At 40.9% G+C, this 16,431-nt stretch overlaps 1 long non-coding RNA gene across 1 annotated transcript in view, besides 2 other annotated features; it reads right to left on the bottom strand.

Annotated features, from left to right (window-relative positions):
- LOC107985165 (uncharacterized) overlaps positions 1–13,882 on the bottom strand; it is a 110,408-nt gene extending 96,526 nt beyond the window's left edge. The window contains exon 1 of the long non-coding RNA XR_001753317.1: positions 13,733–13,882. This is a non-coding gene — a long non-coding RNA (uncharacterized LOC107985165). The remainder of the gene's footprint in view (positions 1–13,732) is intronic.
- Positions 14,527–15,100: an enhancer, noted in NCBI's record as "H3K4me1 hESC enhancer chr18:949912-950485 (GRCh37/hg19 assembly coordinates)". NCBI's record gives its function as "activates a minimal SCP1, AML or CMV promoter by ChIP-STARR-seq in naive H9 embryonic stem cells {active_cell/tissue: H9 hESC(naive)}" and the evidence as "EXISTENCE:reporter gene assay evidence [ECO:0000049][PMID:30033119]".
- Positions 15,101–15,675: an enhancer, noted in NCBI's record as "H3K4me1 hESC enhancer chr18:949337-949911 (GRCh37/hg19 assembly coordinates)". NCBI's record gives its function as "activates a minimal SCP1, AML or CMV promoter by ChIP-STARR-seq in naive H9 embryonic stem cells {active_cell/tissue: H9 hESC(naive)}" and the evidence as "EXISTENCE:reporter gene assay evidence [ECO:0000049][PMID:30033119]".

The raw sequence follows: 16,431 nt of genomic DNA, 5'->3' as shown, positions 1-16,431 counted from the left end.
TCTTCAGATAATTTTGCCTCAGCACAGTAGTATATAGTCATAGGATTGGCAGAAACAAATTACAGGGTAACAGACCCTGTTCATGGATTTATTTTAAATAATAACTTCCAAGGGGCATCCTTGGTTCAGTACGAATTTAGTTCAATGCTTCATCTATAAAATGATAATTTTGTCAATAAATATTTATTAAGTAGCCAATAATACTTAACAATTAATTGCGTGTCTCTGTCACAAAAATTTGTCTGTCTTCTAGCACACTTAATAAATATTTATTGACAAAATTATTATTTTATAGATGAAGAAGCATCTTCTTCTCTCAAAGAGCTCAGAGTCGAGGGGTGAACCTAGAGCAGTAAATGCAAGGACAAGGGAAAGCACCAAGTATTATGGAACACAAAGAAGGGCTACACCTCCCGTCCTGAAGAGGTGAAAAGGAGTCTCTTGGAAAGGCCACATCTGTACCAAATTTTGAAGTAGCAGTGAGCCAGTTACAGAAGGGAGAGATGATAGAAACAATAATGATGTTAATAATTATAATACCACGTATTCTCATGTGTCTTTACAACTTACAAAATATTGCAATGAAACTGATTGGTAATTGGTCCAAAATGTGAGCACATGAGCTGCACCAGACCAATCAGGGTTCTTTCCTGCCTGAGCTAATGGGGAATTGTGTGTTTATCTGTCTGGTTATAACAAAGGTGAGAAGACAGAGCTGCCTGCTGCCATGTCCAGAGCTGAGTGGAGAAGCAGCTGTCAGGAGAGAATGAAGTTAGCAAGCAGAGGCAGAAATGAGAAAGATCATGTTTGATATGCTGGATCTAGTTGTCCCTAAAGCCAGCTCCCCTTGCCATTACATGCACTGATGATGACAGTAAATACTAATAATAATATTGCTAATGAGCATGTATTGAGAGCTTAATATGTACTAAAGGCTGTGCCAAGCTCCTCACACTGCCAGTAGCACAAAATTCTTTTATAAAATGTGGGCAAATATAGAGCAGTTGCCAGACAAGGAAGAAATCAGCTACTTTAACTGCCTATTTCTTATCAAATTAAATTAAATCTCTGCTTAGCCAACAGCTAAGAACTGTGTCTCACTTAAGCAGCATCACTGGATAGTCAGTATAGACAATGAAATCTGGTTGTTTGGTGCTATTTTTTAAATCTTCTTGCCTTTATTTGTTCTGTAAGTCCAAAGAGGCTTTGTCTAAAGGCAATTATTTATTTTTTTACCAGGTCAATGACTTTTATTAACATGATATAAAAAATTTTAGTGTGATATACAGAAATCTCAGAAAGTAATTGTAAAACATTTTAATGCACTTCTTAAAATCTTAATTTACAAGACATTTTGTCTTACCACCACTGACCTTTCAATACAAAAACTTTACAATTTTTGTTTGCCAATTATTTAAATATAGCCCACTTTTGATCCCTTGCAGACTTGTATTTGGGGGATAAAAGGAGAGATTGGTTCTATAGGATGCTCCTCAACCTGGCATGCTTCCCAATCCATTGTCAACTTACTGCTCACCAGTGCTCTCTGACATCTCCCAGGCCACCAGCCCCACTCCAGCCCCATGCCAAACTCATCTTAAGATAAATGCCTGTACAGTACTCTGCCGGCAATAGCTCCTCAGGTATGAATTTAACTCTGTTCGTCTGTACAGCTCAAACAAGGTGTTACTCTCTAGTAATGTCTGAAGGATCTTTGAAATAGTCCCCCTGTCCTTTTCTCTTGCCAGGTGCAAATTCTTCCTTCATCAGCAAAGACAATTTGCTCTGGGACACGGCTCCAAATTGCCTGCATGCTCATTTATGCTGTGGGAGAACAGCATAAATGCTCCTTTTTCACTGTTCTACTACTTACTGCTGTTGCCAAAGACACCAGAAGCCAAGTCAGTTTCTACACTACACAAAGAATTAGAAAAATAACAACAATACAAACACACAGTGGTTTGGTCCTTAACCGTATTCTGAGTACATATGATTTTAATACAATGTGAATTCTAAAATGTGGCCTGGACAGATAGTTTTATTCCTCTTTTACAGATAACAGAGAGCGCAAACAACTTGTTCAAGGTCATTGGACTGAAAGTGACAGAGCCAGGACTCTGTCCCACATGCAAAGACTCCACGCATCATGCCTATGATACTCAGAGAAGAAGGCTATCATTATAAAGACCTATACTTGATGCTAGAAATTCAAGACGAGCCTGGGCAACATAGCAAGGCTCTCATCTCCACAAAAAAGAAAAAAAATTAAAAATAGGCATAGTGAAGCACACTGGTGGTAGTCTTAGCTACTCAGGAGACTAAGGTGGGAGGATCCCCGAGCCAAGGAGTTTGAGGCTGCAGTGAGCTATGCAAATACCACTGCACTCCAACCTGTGCAACAGAGAAAGACCCCGTCTCTAAGAAAAAAAAAAAAATCCAAATCCCAAAAAAACCTAACCAATAATAAAAATCATTTCAGTTTACAACCTTGGTGGATTTTTCTTTCCTTCATATTCTTTTTGGGATATATGATGCTTGTCTTTAATACATACATATTATGTTTGAAGAAAAACTATTTAATATTTATCCCATTTGGATAAACAGTCCAAAATGTTTCCAAAAATAACAATTCATTCTTATTAAAAGCTCTGTGTGGAGTGAACAGCGGTGGCACTTATGTAAACCATTCCTCATTTCGTACTTGGAAATGAAAAGATAGAAGCAGCACAAACTGTCAGATAGAAAATGTTTTTCCAAAATAAGCCCTTCTGAAATGGCTTTTGGAGTAAAATGTCTGAGTACCCCCCACACTTCACATTCTCGGCAGATAAGTCACAAAACTCCCAAGGGGGAAAAAAAAATGTTTTCTTCTCAGTTCCTTCCCCGGGAGAGATTTTAAATGTTGATCGCATTCTCATTAGAGAAATAGCGTTCATTTGAGAAGAAGAGTTTTCTCATCCTGTTCAAAACGATTCGTGCACAACACAAGAGACTGGAGCAACACAATCATCAGATAAAACCATTTTGGTGGTGTCCCTAGCGCCCTGAAGGAAGAAACAAGGGAAAGACAAGATGACAGGACCCTCACGCGGCCGATCACAGAGGGCTGTGCCACAGAGCAGTTGTGCCCTCTGCATCCGGCACAGAGACAGCCAAAGAACGCTTGCTTTCTTTTTTAACTGAAAAGTTAAAAGTTTTTTAACTGAAAAGTTAAAAACAACGAAATTATGCCGGTGACAGTTCCGATGCTAGCCTCCAGGGGTCGCTGTTAAATTTCGTAGCTACTTCAACCAGCAAGTCTCCAAAGAGCCAAGTCAAAAACATTTTTCTCCAGCCAGAGCTTTCATAACCCTTTCCAAATACAGACAACATCTAATGACAGAATATTTTAGGATCTTAATGTTCCTTGACAGGTCTATTATTACTTTCTGAAACAACCTTGAATATCATGGCTTTTTGCAGTTTTCTTTAATTTCAAGGAGCAAAAAGTGATTTTTTTAATACCTCACAATTAAGAAAGTAACATAACCTGCATGACTTATGAGGCTTCCATTAATAATACTTATTGCTTCTTCCCCTAAAATCCTCTACTTCCCATTTCTATACGATTTATAAACACACAGAAAAGGAAGGATAAATTTGAACATGGACAGAAAGGAGGCCCAGAAAACAACTCAATAGGATTATACCCTCTTCATATATGCATGTATACACATATATAATCTATATAAACAGAATCATATATTTAATCATAAATAGAATCATATAATTTTGCATGTATGTATAAATAGAATATATATAATTTATATAAATATATAGAATATTTGTGGACATAAAAATAGAATTATATATCATATAGTCAGTATCCTCACATATGTATGTGGTCAGGCTGTTAAAAATCTCACAATTATTAACAGATATTAATATATTATTTTTAAATTAACAGCGAGTATACAAAAGTAGCAAGATAATTTAATCTCAGTATCACTAATTACCAAGGACACTTAAGCAACCAAAAACTGAGCAGTCATTTTAAACATAAGTGTATTTACATTTATTTCTGGTCCATAACAACTTTTTCCCAACTGTATTCCCTTGTCAAAGAAGTTTTGAAATGCTACAAACCATTCCTCACTTTTGGAAAGGTAAAATGCACAGAGAGAAATCTGTTAAACTTTGTTTATTCAACCTAGCATTTCTCAAACTTATTTGAGCACCAAACATATTCTTCATTGACTACCTTTTAATTTCTCATGCAATGTATTATAATAAACTATAAAAACAGCATTATAAATACAGTTTGGAAAATACTGGCCTAGGGTATTCTTGCTAAGAATATTTAAGAATTTGTGAATACTGTATATAAATATTTATTTTGTTCTTGATTCTCAAAGTTTCTTTTGGGAAATTATTTTATTATCCAGAGAATCTATGTCAGTATATATTGTAATCTAAATTTGTCCGTTTCTTCTCCATGTATCATGCTGTAATGCTATAAAAATTCACACTTGTGTACTAAGCTTTATCAATTCCACATAATGGTAATATTTTATATTCCTCCAAAATAAGCTGGAAGTATACTGCAGGTATTTTGTAACACATTTTTTCTATCACTACTGTGACACAGGTGGAAATTAATTGTTCCATTTCACAGATGTAGAAAAAGCATCTTAGAGAGTGAGTCACAAGCAAAGTTGGAAATAAAACTCATTTATTGAGCCTTCAGAATGTAATTTTTCATCCAGGTGGCAATGTTCCTCTACGAATTAAAAGCATGATTCTCTCTGTGTGTGGCCATCTTCTTGGGAAAAAGTAAAATAAAATAAAGAACAAGTGAAAAGCACTCTTGATGGAATCTTCTCCACAATAGAAATGTTTGATCCAGGATCTTTCCCACAGGATTCTGATAAGAAGCTAAGGGAGCACCGCCGAGAGCCGGGGAGAGAGCACGTGGTGATATAATTCTAATGGTGAGCCAAAGAGCATAGTATCATTCATCAGTGTCCAACTATCCACTTCCTTTCAAAGAATTACAACTGGAGTTTGCATAGTCATTTGCCCTAGGCCACAAAATGAAATACACAGCAGCCAAATAAGTTGAAATAATTTCAAATCTCTTAAAATAATTTAATCTTCTGCATTCATTGAGTATACTTTAAAAAGTTAATGATTATTAAATCATAGTTATTGTTGCTGTTCTCACTTTCAAATGGTTTGGAGGCTGTCTTTTCAGGAAAAGCTTCCTAATCACTTTCCCAGTTCCTTACATCCTCCTGCATACACACAAACACACACACACACACAGACACACACACAGACACACACACACAGTTATTTTTCAGTCCCTGCCAGGACATTGTCATTCCTTTCAAAAAAAAAAAAAAAATCAGCCTGGCATGGTGGCTCATGCCTGTAATCCCAGCACTTTGGGAGGCCGAGGTGGGTGGATCACCTGAGGTCAGGAGTTCAAGACCAGCCTGGTCAACATGGTGAAACCCCGTCTCTACTAAAAATACAAAAATTAGCCGGGTGTGGTGGTACACACCTGTAATCCCAGCTATTCGGAAGGCTGAGGCAGGAGAATTGCTCCAACCCAGGAGGCAGAGGTTGCGGTGAGCCAAGATCGCGCCACTGCACTCCAGCCTGGGCGACAGAGCAAGACTTTGTCTCAAAAAAAAAAAAAAAAAAAAAAACGCAAAACTACTGGATTTTTTTTTCTTTCATAACATTTTTACTTTTAACATTTAACCTTGCCTCCTGGCGCATTTTGCTCAGCAGAAATGTTTCTTTGGGCAAAGTCATTTGTGTCTCCTTTTTCAACATAATGACAGCAAAGCATGCTATCCCCAAAGTTTCCATTTCCACATTTAGAACGAATTAGCCCTCGGCTGTAAGATTAGGCTAATACTTGGCCAATTCTGTTACTACTCAAAGAGAATTTAAGGATCCATAGACTAATGTTCAAGCTGGAGTAGTGTTCAGTTCTTCTATCAACGGTGCTCACCTGCCTTTACGATGCCTCTTAGGAACTGAAGTCTAGTCCCAGAATCTGAGCACAGGGCTGGGCTCTTCCACTCTTGCCTGCTCAGCCCTCCCAGTTGCCACTCCCTGTCTTCAAGCTTTCCGGCATATTTCCATCATCTGTCACCCACTGCTGTGTCCCTGTGCTTTGCCAGATCATCCAGATCATTTCACTTTGCCAGCTTCCAGGCATGCTCCTCAGAGACCCAGCCGCCCTGAATGCCATATCTGCTTTCCAGATCTTTCCTTGGCCACCTTTACAGTCCATCAAAGTACTACTAATTCCAAGCACTTGAGTATCAGCATCCAAAAATGTTCACCTGTTCCAGAAACACTGAGAATCTGGAAGAACAAGAGACTGGAAGTTTCACTAGCAGGACAGTAGACACCCCCAGCACCACGTATAGAAAAGATGATGCACACATACAGAAAGAAAGACTGAGTCCCTGTCACCTCAGACAGACACCTCCCACACCAACCTCTCCTCCCTCCCTGTGAAACTCACCTCCCAGTCACCAAGGAGAGAAGCCAAATCGTCAGATTGAAGTTTGGTTGTCCATAGTGCAAACTTTAGATCCAGATTGTCTTGGTTCCATCCCATGTCCATGACTTACTAACTATATAATCTTTGCAAAGTTACTTGGCTTTTCTAAACCTCAGTGTTCACATTGTTAAAATGACAGGAATAATAATTTACCCAATTAGGTTTCTCTAAGTCCTAATGAGGCAATCCACATAAGACAATGAGCAAGTACTGAGGCTGCAGTTGACATTAGATAAATGGTAACTAGCTAGTAGTATTAAGCCCTTTTTCATTACACCCAAACAGAGAAATAAGAAATAAACAAAAAACTGGTGCCTGAGAATTTCAAAAAAGACTGTGCCCAACTGTTGTATTTTTTCCCTTTCCCTTTTATGCCTCACTGTGATCATGCTTGCTAGTGACAGCTCGCCCATGACATCATGATAACTAGCAAGTCAACAACCGCAGCATTTCTCAGCAGCTGAATCCAACCCAGCAAGCTCCATGAGACACTTGAGTTCTCGTCAACGTGCTGCCGAAGGGTGAGAGGTGACTTTCTGCTTAAGGAACTATTAAAAATCCAAGGTTACTTGTATCCTTGAACACTCTGAAAGAACCCTTGCCCCACATAGAACAGGCTTCCAAGCCTTTATTCACTGGCTCATTGGACTTCGTGCCATGCTAAGAATTATTCTGCTGGGACCCTGTTTCTAAGGCTGAAGTTTTCAGTGCTCCAAAGCAAGCCAGGTTTATAGTCTTGACCTTTTTCAGAGAGAGAATGCAACCTTTCTCAGGGTCCGTTACTGCCAATTTCACCTTGGCAATTCCTCACAATTTGAAAAATTATCTAGAGGGATGCTGAAATGCTGCACATCGCACTGTGCAGACAATTTCTAAAGAATGGCGAAAGTTACCCAGCTAAAGAACTGTTTTTCAAAAGTGTGGGCTCTGACCCACTAGTGAGAAATGAAATTTAGTCTCTCTCTAGAGACCTGTTTTTAATAAAATGGAACAGAAATGGAATGGAATAGAACAATATAAGAACATGTCCCACTTAGTAAGGGTAAAGCGGCAGTCATGTTTTAATTACACATATAGGTATGTCTGTACTAGATCATATTGTAAAAATGTAATTCTTACTCTGGATTGAGATGAAAATTTTACGGAAGTTGCAGATCTAATGGGATGGCTAAATCAGTGTCTATCCATTTTTCTACACTTAACAATAACATTTAAGAATCTGGAGGATTGAACACTGGAAAATACCAGGGAATCTACAGTAAAATTTAGCTATGTGGCTAAAAGTTATTCAGACAAAATTAGGGAAAATTAATTCAAGCCAGCTTACATAAAATCGCTGGAAACCTAAATAGTACTTAAAGAATGTAGGTATGACAGCACACTGCCAGGGCCCAAACTGTGTCACTGGTTGGCTGCGTGATCAAAAGCTCCGCAACTTAGCATCTCCAAACCTAGGGTTCCTCGTCTGTTAAATGGGGATAAAAGTAGAGTTACTAGAAGAATTAAATGAATTATTATAATGGATTGTTAGAAATAAATTATTGAGATTGGGTGCAGTGACTCACACCTGTCATCTCAACACTCTGGGAGGCTGAGGCAAAAAGATTGCTTTAGGCCAGGAGTTAAGACCAGGCTAGGCAACATAGCCAAACCCCATCTCCACAAAAATAAAAAGTAAGAAATTAGCCTGGTATGGTGGCTTGTACCTATAGTTCTAATGACTCCGGAGGCTAAGATGGGAGGAGCCCTTGAGTCCAGGAGTCTGAGGATGCAGTGAGCTATGACTGTGCCACTGCACTTCAGCCTGAGTGACAAAGTAACACTCTGTCTCAAAAAAAAAAAGAAAGAAAGAAAAAGAAAAGAACAAAGAGAGGAGGAAATGAATTACACAGCACTCAGCACGAGTGCCTAGCACAAAGTAAGCACTTTTAGCTGCTATTTTATTTGCCATTGAAATTGGTAGTTATTATTGTTGCTTATAACAGGCAAAAATATATTGTTGTCTAAATAACCTTATCTCACAAAATAATACTCAGTACACCAAGAAGACCAAATAGCCACCTTCCCCAGTTTAGCCATCCAGCCTATTAAATTCCCAGTGACTTCAAACACCAAATCTACCTGAATAATCCTGAAAGGCCTGGGGCTCCATTTCTGGCCGCAACTACCCAAACAGTGGGTATAGGCTTGTAGAAGTGGGGTTAATGCCATGACAGTTTGTTCTATGGAGTAACGGCCAATGTGGGTTCAAAAATAAACACAAATGCTTTATCTAAGTTGTCATCTGTGAAGAAAATTTGGCCTTTTAATCATTTTTTCATAAAATACCAAAAGGAATTCCAAAGAACTTTCAATTAATTATTTCACAATCTTAATAATTCACCTAGAGCTATTTTTTAATAAAAATAAAAACTTATTTCCCTTTTCTCCCTGCTTCAACCCTGTCAGGACTTTCTCGGTGGTGGAAGAAGGGGAGGAAGGTGCAACCCACCAATGACAGGAAGCCCCGTGGCAGAGGTGGCGAGGAACAAACCTAATTGTGCCTGAACATCGATAAGAACAGCATTTTCCAGCTTTCATTGTCTTTGTTCTATTCCCACCCATGGCTGTGCTGCACTTCACAGCAGCCAGGAAAACTTAATGCAGAACTTTCTTTCTGCTTTAGGGTGGGTTGAATGTGGGAATCTTTAGTAAAGAAGAAGTTTCTCCCAGCTCCAGATTGCTTGAGCAGACTGTAAATGAAATCATGGAGACTTCAATGGGGACATTTTTAAAACTCCATCCTCCTGCTGAGCTGTCTTAATTCTAGCATGAAGTTCACACGTCCTCATAGGAGCAGGGCTTCAAAGAGCCAGCAAGTCATAGTTTCATGTTAATCATCAACAGAATTTTAGCTTACACATCCGGGGAAAGGAATTTCTTAGGACCATGAAAACATAGGTGATTCTGGTTCTGATTAGAGGGCTCAGTCTTCATCCCAAAAAGTACATATGTTTATTCCAAATTTACAGATGATCAAACTGAGGTTGAGAGCAGCCAAGTAACTTATTTGAGTTTGCATAGCAAGCAAATAGTACAGCCAACTTTGGAAACTGAATCAAAGAGCTCCTCTGTTACCCACAACGTCCCCTCCAGCAATGGTAAACACCTCAGACTTCACACTGGCTTTCACAAACCACCTCACAAAATGCATGAGAATAGAGGAGAGGGCATGTGGATGCAGAAGTCAGCTGAGCAGGGAAAAGGGAAGCCCAGTGGTGATTTTCTATCTCCCTCACATTCACAAATACACTCACAGATCAGAGTCTATAGTGACATCAATAGAGGTTGGGTTCTCATCCCAGCTTGGGAAAAATGTGTCCAAGAGTAGTCTAGCACCAAGCCAAGTGAAAGCCATCAAGGGTGGAGCCAGGCTTCCCTTGGGAGTAGAGTGACACAGGATAGGCTGGACATTCTCTGCAAACAGGAAGCCTCATTCTGTCTTAGAGAAATAGCACCAGCCAGGCACCGTGGCTCATGCCTGTAATCCCAACATTCTGGGAGGCCGAGGTGGGCAGATCACCTGAGGTCAGGAGTTGGAGACCAGCCTGGTCAACATGGTGAAACTCCATCTCTACTAAAACAAAATGCAAAAATTAGCCAGGAGTGGTGGCACGTGCCTGTTATCCCAGCTACTATCGAGGCTGAGGCAGGAGAATCACTTGAACCGAGGAGGCAGAGGTCGCAGTGAGCCAAGATTGCGCCACTGCACTCCAGCCTGGGCAACAGAGTGAGACGCCATTAAAAAAAAAAAAAAAAAAAAAAAAAAAACAGCACCAAAATGATAGATCGCATTTTTAAAAAATACTCTCAATTTCTATCTAAATGAACAGCTCTTCCACTTGAAACAATAGAATGAAGATGTCATAATATCTAGTTAACCTCTCTAATGCCAAATAAGAGTGTCATTAGGTTCTATCCATATCTGAGCTAGAAACAATGCCGTGAAATGTTAATAAAAAAAACCTTTAAGGCATATGAAATTTCCTAATTGAAAAATGAATTACCTATATTCCCAAAGAAACACACAGGATGCAGACCTTGGTTATTGTTTTAGGAAGCAGACAACTCATATTAATGTTGTCTGAAGAATTCTTTTTTAGCTAAACATTAGCCATAACTAGGGAAGATGTTCGCATAACTCAGCATCATTCAAAATCAAAATGCATATAGAATCTGATCTGAGATGATTTTCAAAGCCCTGCTCCTATCAGATGTTCAGACAGATGAAGAAATTTTATACAAAGCTCTATTCTTAATGAAAATCCATCTCTTCTTCATTCTTCACCTCTGGCTGATCATGACAAAAAGAAGCTTTCCACTAAAGAGAGTGGATTGAGTAGGAATGTGGAAGGAGACACATAATGTGTATTCAACCCTTCGCCTGCTGCCGGCTCCTGGGATTTAACTGGCTTTGAAATATGTATAAGCTAGGGGGACTGTTGTATTATTCATCAAAGATTTATCAGACCTTCAAACTCAATTACATATAGTGACCATGGGACACTTAAAAATAATAATAACAAAGCAGGTAATGAAAGTACCTTTTTCAGAAATGCTGTCTAGGAAAAGAAAAAAACAAAACAGCTGTTTAATGTTGATTCCTAGGCCTCTAAATAAAAATTATAATAGGCTTCCCTCATCCCCCAACACTTATTTTTTCAAAGTAACCACTCAGTTTTCAAGGGTCCCTTCCTCAACTGTGGCCGATGAAAAGCAAGATTTCCCTATAAAGAGTCAATGCCTTCATTTGGTAGACAAACATTGCAACGGACCTCCGAAAAAGTCATCGTGGTCCAAAAAGTTGAATTATCCTTAAAAACAGAAAAGGAACCAAAAACACTCTACTAATGCTTTCTAAATCCAGATTTTTGTTTGTTTGTTTGTTTGTTTGTTTGTTTGAATGGAAAGGAAGTTGGATGCCATGTAATATGACTCCTCCAATTGTACAGATAAGATTGCACAGATCTAATTGTACAGATCTGAGCCCCAGCCATGCTGTGACTTGGAAAAGATCACAGACAATCATATTTATTACTTTGTTCAACAAATATTTATTACGTCCCTAGTATGTGCTAAGCATTACATGAAGCACAAGGTATACTGATAAAATAGCCCTGGCCCCTGTCCTTCTAGGGCTAAGTGGGTACCAGGACCACTAAGGTATGGGCCTCTCCCAATGGTCCACTCCTAACCCACTTACCAGGCCCAGTCTATGAGGAACTGTTGGAGGCAAATAGGAGAAAACACAATGTAGATTTCCAGGAAGCTGAACACACTCTTTTTAAAGGTGTCCTATACCCCAAGAGTATCTTCCTTATTTTGTTCTGTTAAAATTTCCTGCCTTTGGTGCTGGGAAAACTGGCTAGCCATATGGAGAAAGCTGAAACTGGATCCCTTCCTTACACCTTATACTAAAATTGATTCAAGATGGATTAAAGACTTAAATGTTAGACCTAAAACCATAAAAACCCTAGAAGAAAACCTAGGCAATACCATTCAGGACATAGGCATGGGAAAGGACTACATGACTAAAACACCAAAAGCAATGGCAACAAAAGCCAAAATAGACAAATGGGATCTAATTAAATTAAAGAGCTTCTGCACAGCAAAAGAAACTACCATCAGAGTGAACAGGCAACCTACAGAATGGGAGAAAATTTTTACAATCTACCCATCTGACAAAGGGCTAATATCTAGAATCTACAAAGAACTTAAACAAATTTACAAGAAATAATCAAACAACCCCATCAAAAAGTGGGCAAAGAATATGAACAGGCACTTCTCAAAAGAAGACATTTATGCAGCCAACAGACACATGAAAAAATGCTCATCATCACTGGCATCACTGGCCATCAGAGAAATGCAAATCAAAACCACAGTGAGATACCATCTCACACCAGTTAGAATGGCAATCATTAAAAAGTCAGGAAACAACAGGTGCTGGAGAGGATGTGGAGAAATAGGAACACTTTGACACTGTTGGTGGGACTGTAAACTAGTTCAACCATTGTGGAAGACAGTGTGGCGATTCCTCAGGGATCTAGAACTAGAAATACCATTTGACCCAGCCATCCCATTACTGGGTATATACCCAAAGGATTATAAATCATGCTGCTATAAAGACATATGCACACGTATGTTTATTGCAGCACTACTCACAATAGCAAAGACTTGGAACCAACCTAAATGTCCATCAATGATAGACTGGCTTAAGAAAATGTAGCACATATACACCATGGAATACTATGCAGCCATAAAAAAGGATGAGTTCATGTCCTTTGTAGGGACGTGGATGAAGCTGGAAACCATCATTCTAAGCAAACTATCGCAAGGACAGAAAACCAAACACCGCATGTTCTCACTCATAGGTGGGAATTGAGCAATGAGAACACTTGGACACAGGAAGGGGAGCATCACACACCGGGACCTGTTGTAAATGACGAGTTAACGTGTGCAGCGCACCAGCATGGCACATGTATACATATGTAACAAACCTGCACTTTGTGCACATGTACCCTAGAACTTAAAGTATAATAAAAAAGAAAAAAATGTCCTGCCTTTTTTATGAAATGATAGTGACAAAAGATAATAGGGGCTTTTACATACCTCACTTAGAAAACTAATTTTTCTTTTTTAAAATCTCCTTGTCTATGGAATCCAAGTCCGGGATTCTCTGCCTCACACCACAATACCCTCTTTCTGGGGATTAGCAGATGAAGAGCTCTAATAATGCTATTACAAGAGCAGAGGCAGAAGCCCCCAGCTGGTGGTCAGTTGAGGCAAGCTGAGTTTGGCTGTTCCTTTCTACATCTGGAATTCTAGTCTTAAAAAAAGTATGTTAATAAGGTTAATAAAATGTGTCCCTTGGCTCTGTGACTAACTGTTATTGAGACTGGAAAGTTAGGCTGCCAAGACGGAGCCAAAAACCTCCTGTTTTATGAAATGGATTAATTAGTTAATATTCGTGGAGTGCTTGAAAGTGGCAAAGGGTTATGTTTATGCTTTATACAATCAACATTCCAAAAAAGTGATTACGAACTGAGGAGAGTGTGTACCTGTTGCGAAAGCAACTCAAGCAATCTCTAAGGGTTACATCATTAACCTGAACATAAATGAGCAACCCACCTGTAATTTCCTGGTATGTTTCCCCCTGAGCATAGGATCAAGAGCTCCCTGAGTAGCTTCTCTCCTTTCTAGATCCAGGAACAGCAGCAGCCATCTCTTCTTCCTATTGCTGGATTTTCCAATTCAGCTTATCCCGATTCTGGGCCCTTCTGCCAGAGGAAACAGGGAGGTTAGAAGTGAAGGGGCAGGCTCATAAATGCCTCAGTAGTGAGTAATGAAGCAGAGCCCTTTTTCATCCTCAGTTGACATAAACTGCCACTCCACTGTCTTGTGCTCTCAGGGGGAAATGTTTACATACCCAAAAGTTGTGTCTTATAAAATTCCTAGAACCATCACAATAGCAACCATTTACTGAGTGCTTACCAAACTTCTGGACTTGGGCTAAGTGATTTCCACAATTATGCTATTACATTCTCATGGCCGTCTTTACTGTGGTATCATTAGCCTCAATTTCTAGTTGAAAAAATTGAAAGCTAAAGAATATAAATAACCAGAGGGGCTTCAGGATGGCTGATGAGAGGCATCCAGCACTCACCTCCTCCACAAAGAGGAACCAAAATAGCAAGAAGAAAATCACACTTCAAATACAGGGAAGGCCATTGGAGTTCAACAGAGAAGTGACAGACAGGAAACACCCAAGGCATGGAAGGAGATGGAAACCAGGCAGCCTGCTGAGCGGGATTGGTTGGGAGCCCAGAGAGGGTCTCCACTATGGGGAAAGGGTAAGTGAGAGATCCCCAGTAGTCTACATTTCCACCATGGAATCCTGCAGCCCTAGCCATGGGAGAACCCCCAGCCCTCGCAAGGCCCTGAGACTAGTATAGGGAGCTGCCTGGACTGTGCAGTGGCATTGCTCCAGATAGGGAGCTCACACTGCGTCCTACACACACACCCAAGTCCCAGGCAACTGCAGCACAGAGCCAGTTTGAGAGTCCAGCTTCACCAGACTGCATCCTGCCCTTGGGCCCAGCAGCCCCTCCATCTCCACATCTTTGGAGCCCTACTGACATCCCCACATGTCCACCTAGAGGGCTGCAGTAGTGTGACACTGGTTGGACCCAGTGGAGTGGCTGGGGCCCTAGCACTCTAGCACACACCGTGTCCTGCACCCCAGAGAATGGACAGTGTAGCACTCTAAGGAGTCCTCCCCTAAAACGAAGGGAGCCAAAGTGCATGCTCCACAGAGCCTGGAACCTGCCTCCCTGGGGCTGCTACCACTGACAGCAACCCCGCCCTCCACCACTCCCCCAGCAGGAGAACCACAGTGCACTTGTACACACCCTGAGAACTGGCTCTCCCTGCTGCTGCCACTCCCCACTGCTACCACTGACACCATGATAGCCACCACCAAGGCCCAAAGCACATGCTCCCCAGAGCCTAAGAGCCAACTGACGGCAGCTGCTGCCACTAATAGCAACCCCACCCTCCCCCAGCAGCAAAGCTGTGGTGCATTTGCACATACCCTGAAGACGGGCTTTCCTCACTAACCACCACTGCTGCCGCCACCCACAAACTCCACTGAGGGGTCTGAGAATCACCCTGCCCTGCCCACCACAGCCCATACAGAGGAGAGGCCCACCTGGCCTGGCACTGCTCTTCCAGTGCCCAAGCACATCCCCCAGGGGTTTGGGGATCACCCCACCCCATCCACCACTGCTGGCATCTGTGCACTCCTCCCAGGGGTCTGAGGATGGGCCAACCCAGCCTGCCACTATCATCACAGTGGCATCCACCCTCATGTGCCACTGTGGGGACCTGGGGACTGGCCTGCCCAGCCCATCACAGCCACTGGTAACACAAGCATGGGCCTCCTGGGAGCCTCAGGGTTGTCCCACCACTACTATAGCCACTGCCACACCAAGCACACTGCCCAGAGGCCTCAGAACCCACCTTGAGGTGCAGCCCACCACTGCCACTGCCAGCACCTGAGGAAGCCACATGGAGATCCAAGAATCTCCCACTTAGACCTGCTAACATTGGAGTCCACGTGCATCAGCTGAGAGCCCAAGGACAGGCGTGCTCAGGCTGCCACTGCTACAACTAGGGCCCAAGAACTAGCCTTCCTGGCTTTCTCGTCCCCAACAAAACCTCATCACAGCCTTCACTAACAACTGCAGACTCAGCCATTGAGGAAATCAGACACCGCTGACACCGCTTACAGCTGAAGAAATGACACTGGTGCGTGCACCTAGAATCAAAGCTAAAGTACCCTACCCAACCAACAACATAGATGCATCTTCACAAAAAAAGTGCTACCCTGTGAAAGGAAATTTTAAAACGGGAAAAAGCAACTGTCACACCAGATATGCGGATATCAATGGAAACATGAAAACACAAGAAAATGTGACACTCAAAAGGAACACAATAATTCTCCAGTAATAGATTCCAATCAAAAGGATTTATGAAATACCAGAAAAGGAGTTCAAAATAATGATATTAAAGAAGCTCAGTGAGATATAAGACAACACAGATAAACAATATGAAGAAATCAGAAAAACACAATTCAAGATATGAATGAGAAATTCATCAACAAGGTAAATATCATTAACAGAACCAAACAGAAATCCTCAAACTGAAGAATTATATGAATTAAATTAAAAATCCATTCAATGGCTATTATTAAAAAGGCAAAAAGCAATAGATGCCAGCAAGGCTACAGAGAAAAGGGAACATTTGTACACTGTTGGTGGGAATGTAAA

Source organism: Homo sapiens, chromosome 18 (genome assembly GCF_000001405.40).
Source record: "Homo sapiens chromosome 18, GRCh38.p14 Primary Assembly".
Taxonomy (NCBI): domain Eukaryota; kingdom Metazoa; phylum Chordata; class Mammalia; order Primates; family Hominidae; genus Homo; species Homo sapiens.
The sequence above is the reverse complement of the archived record's forward strand: the minus strand, read 5'-3'. Positions and strand labels throughout refer to the sequence as shown.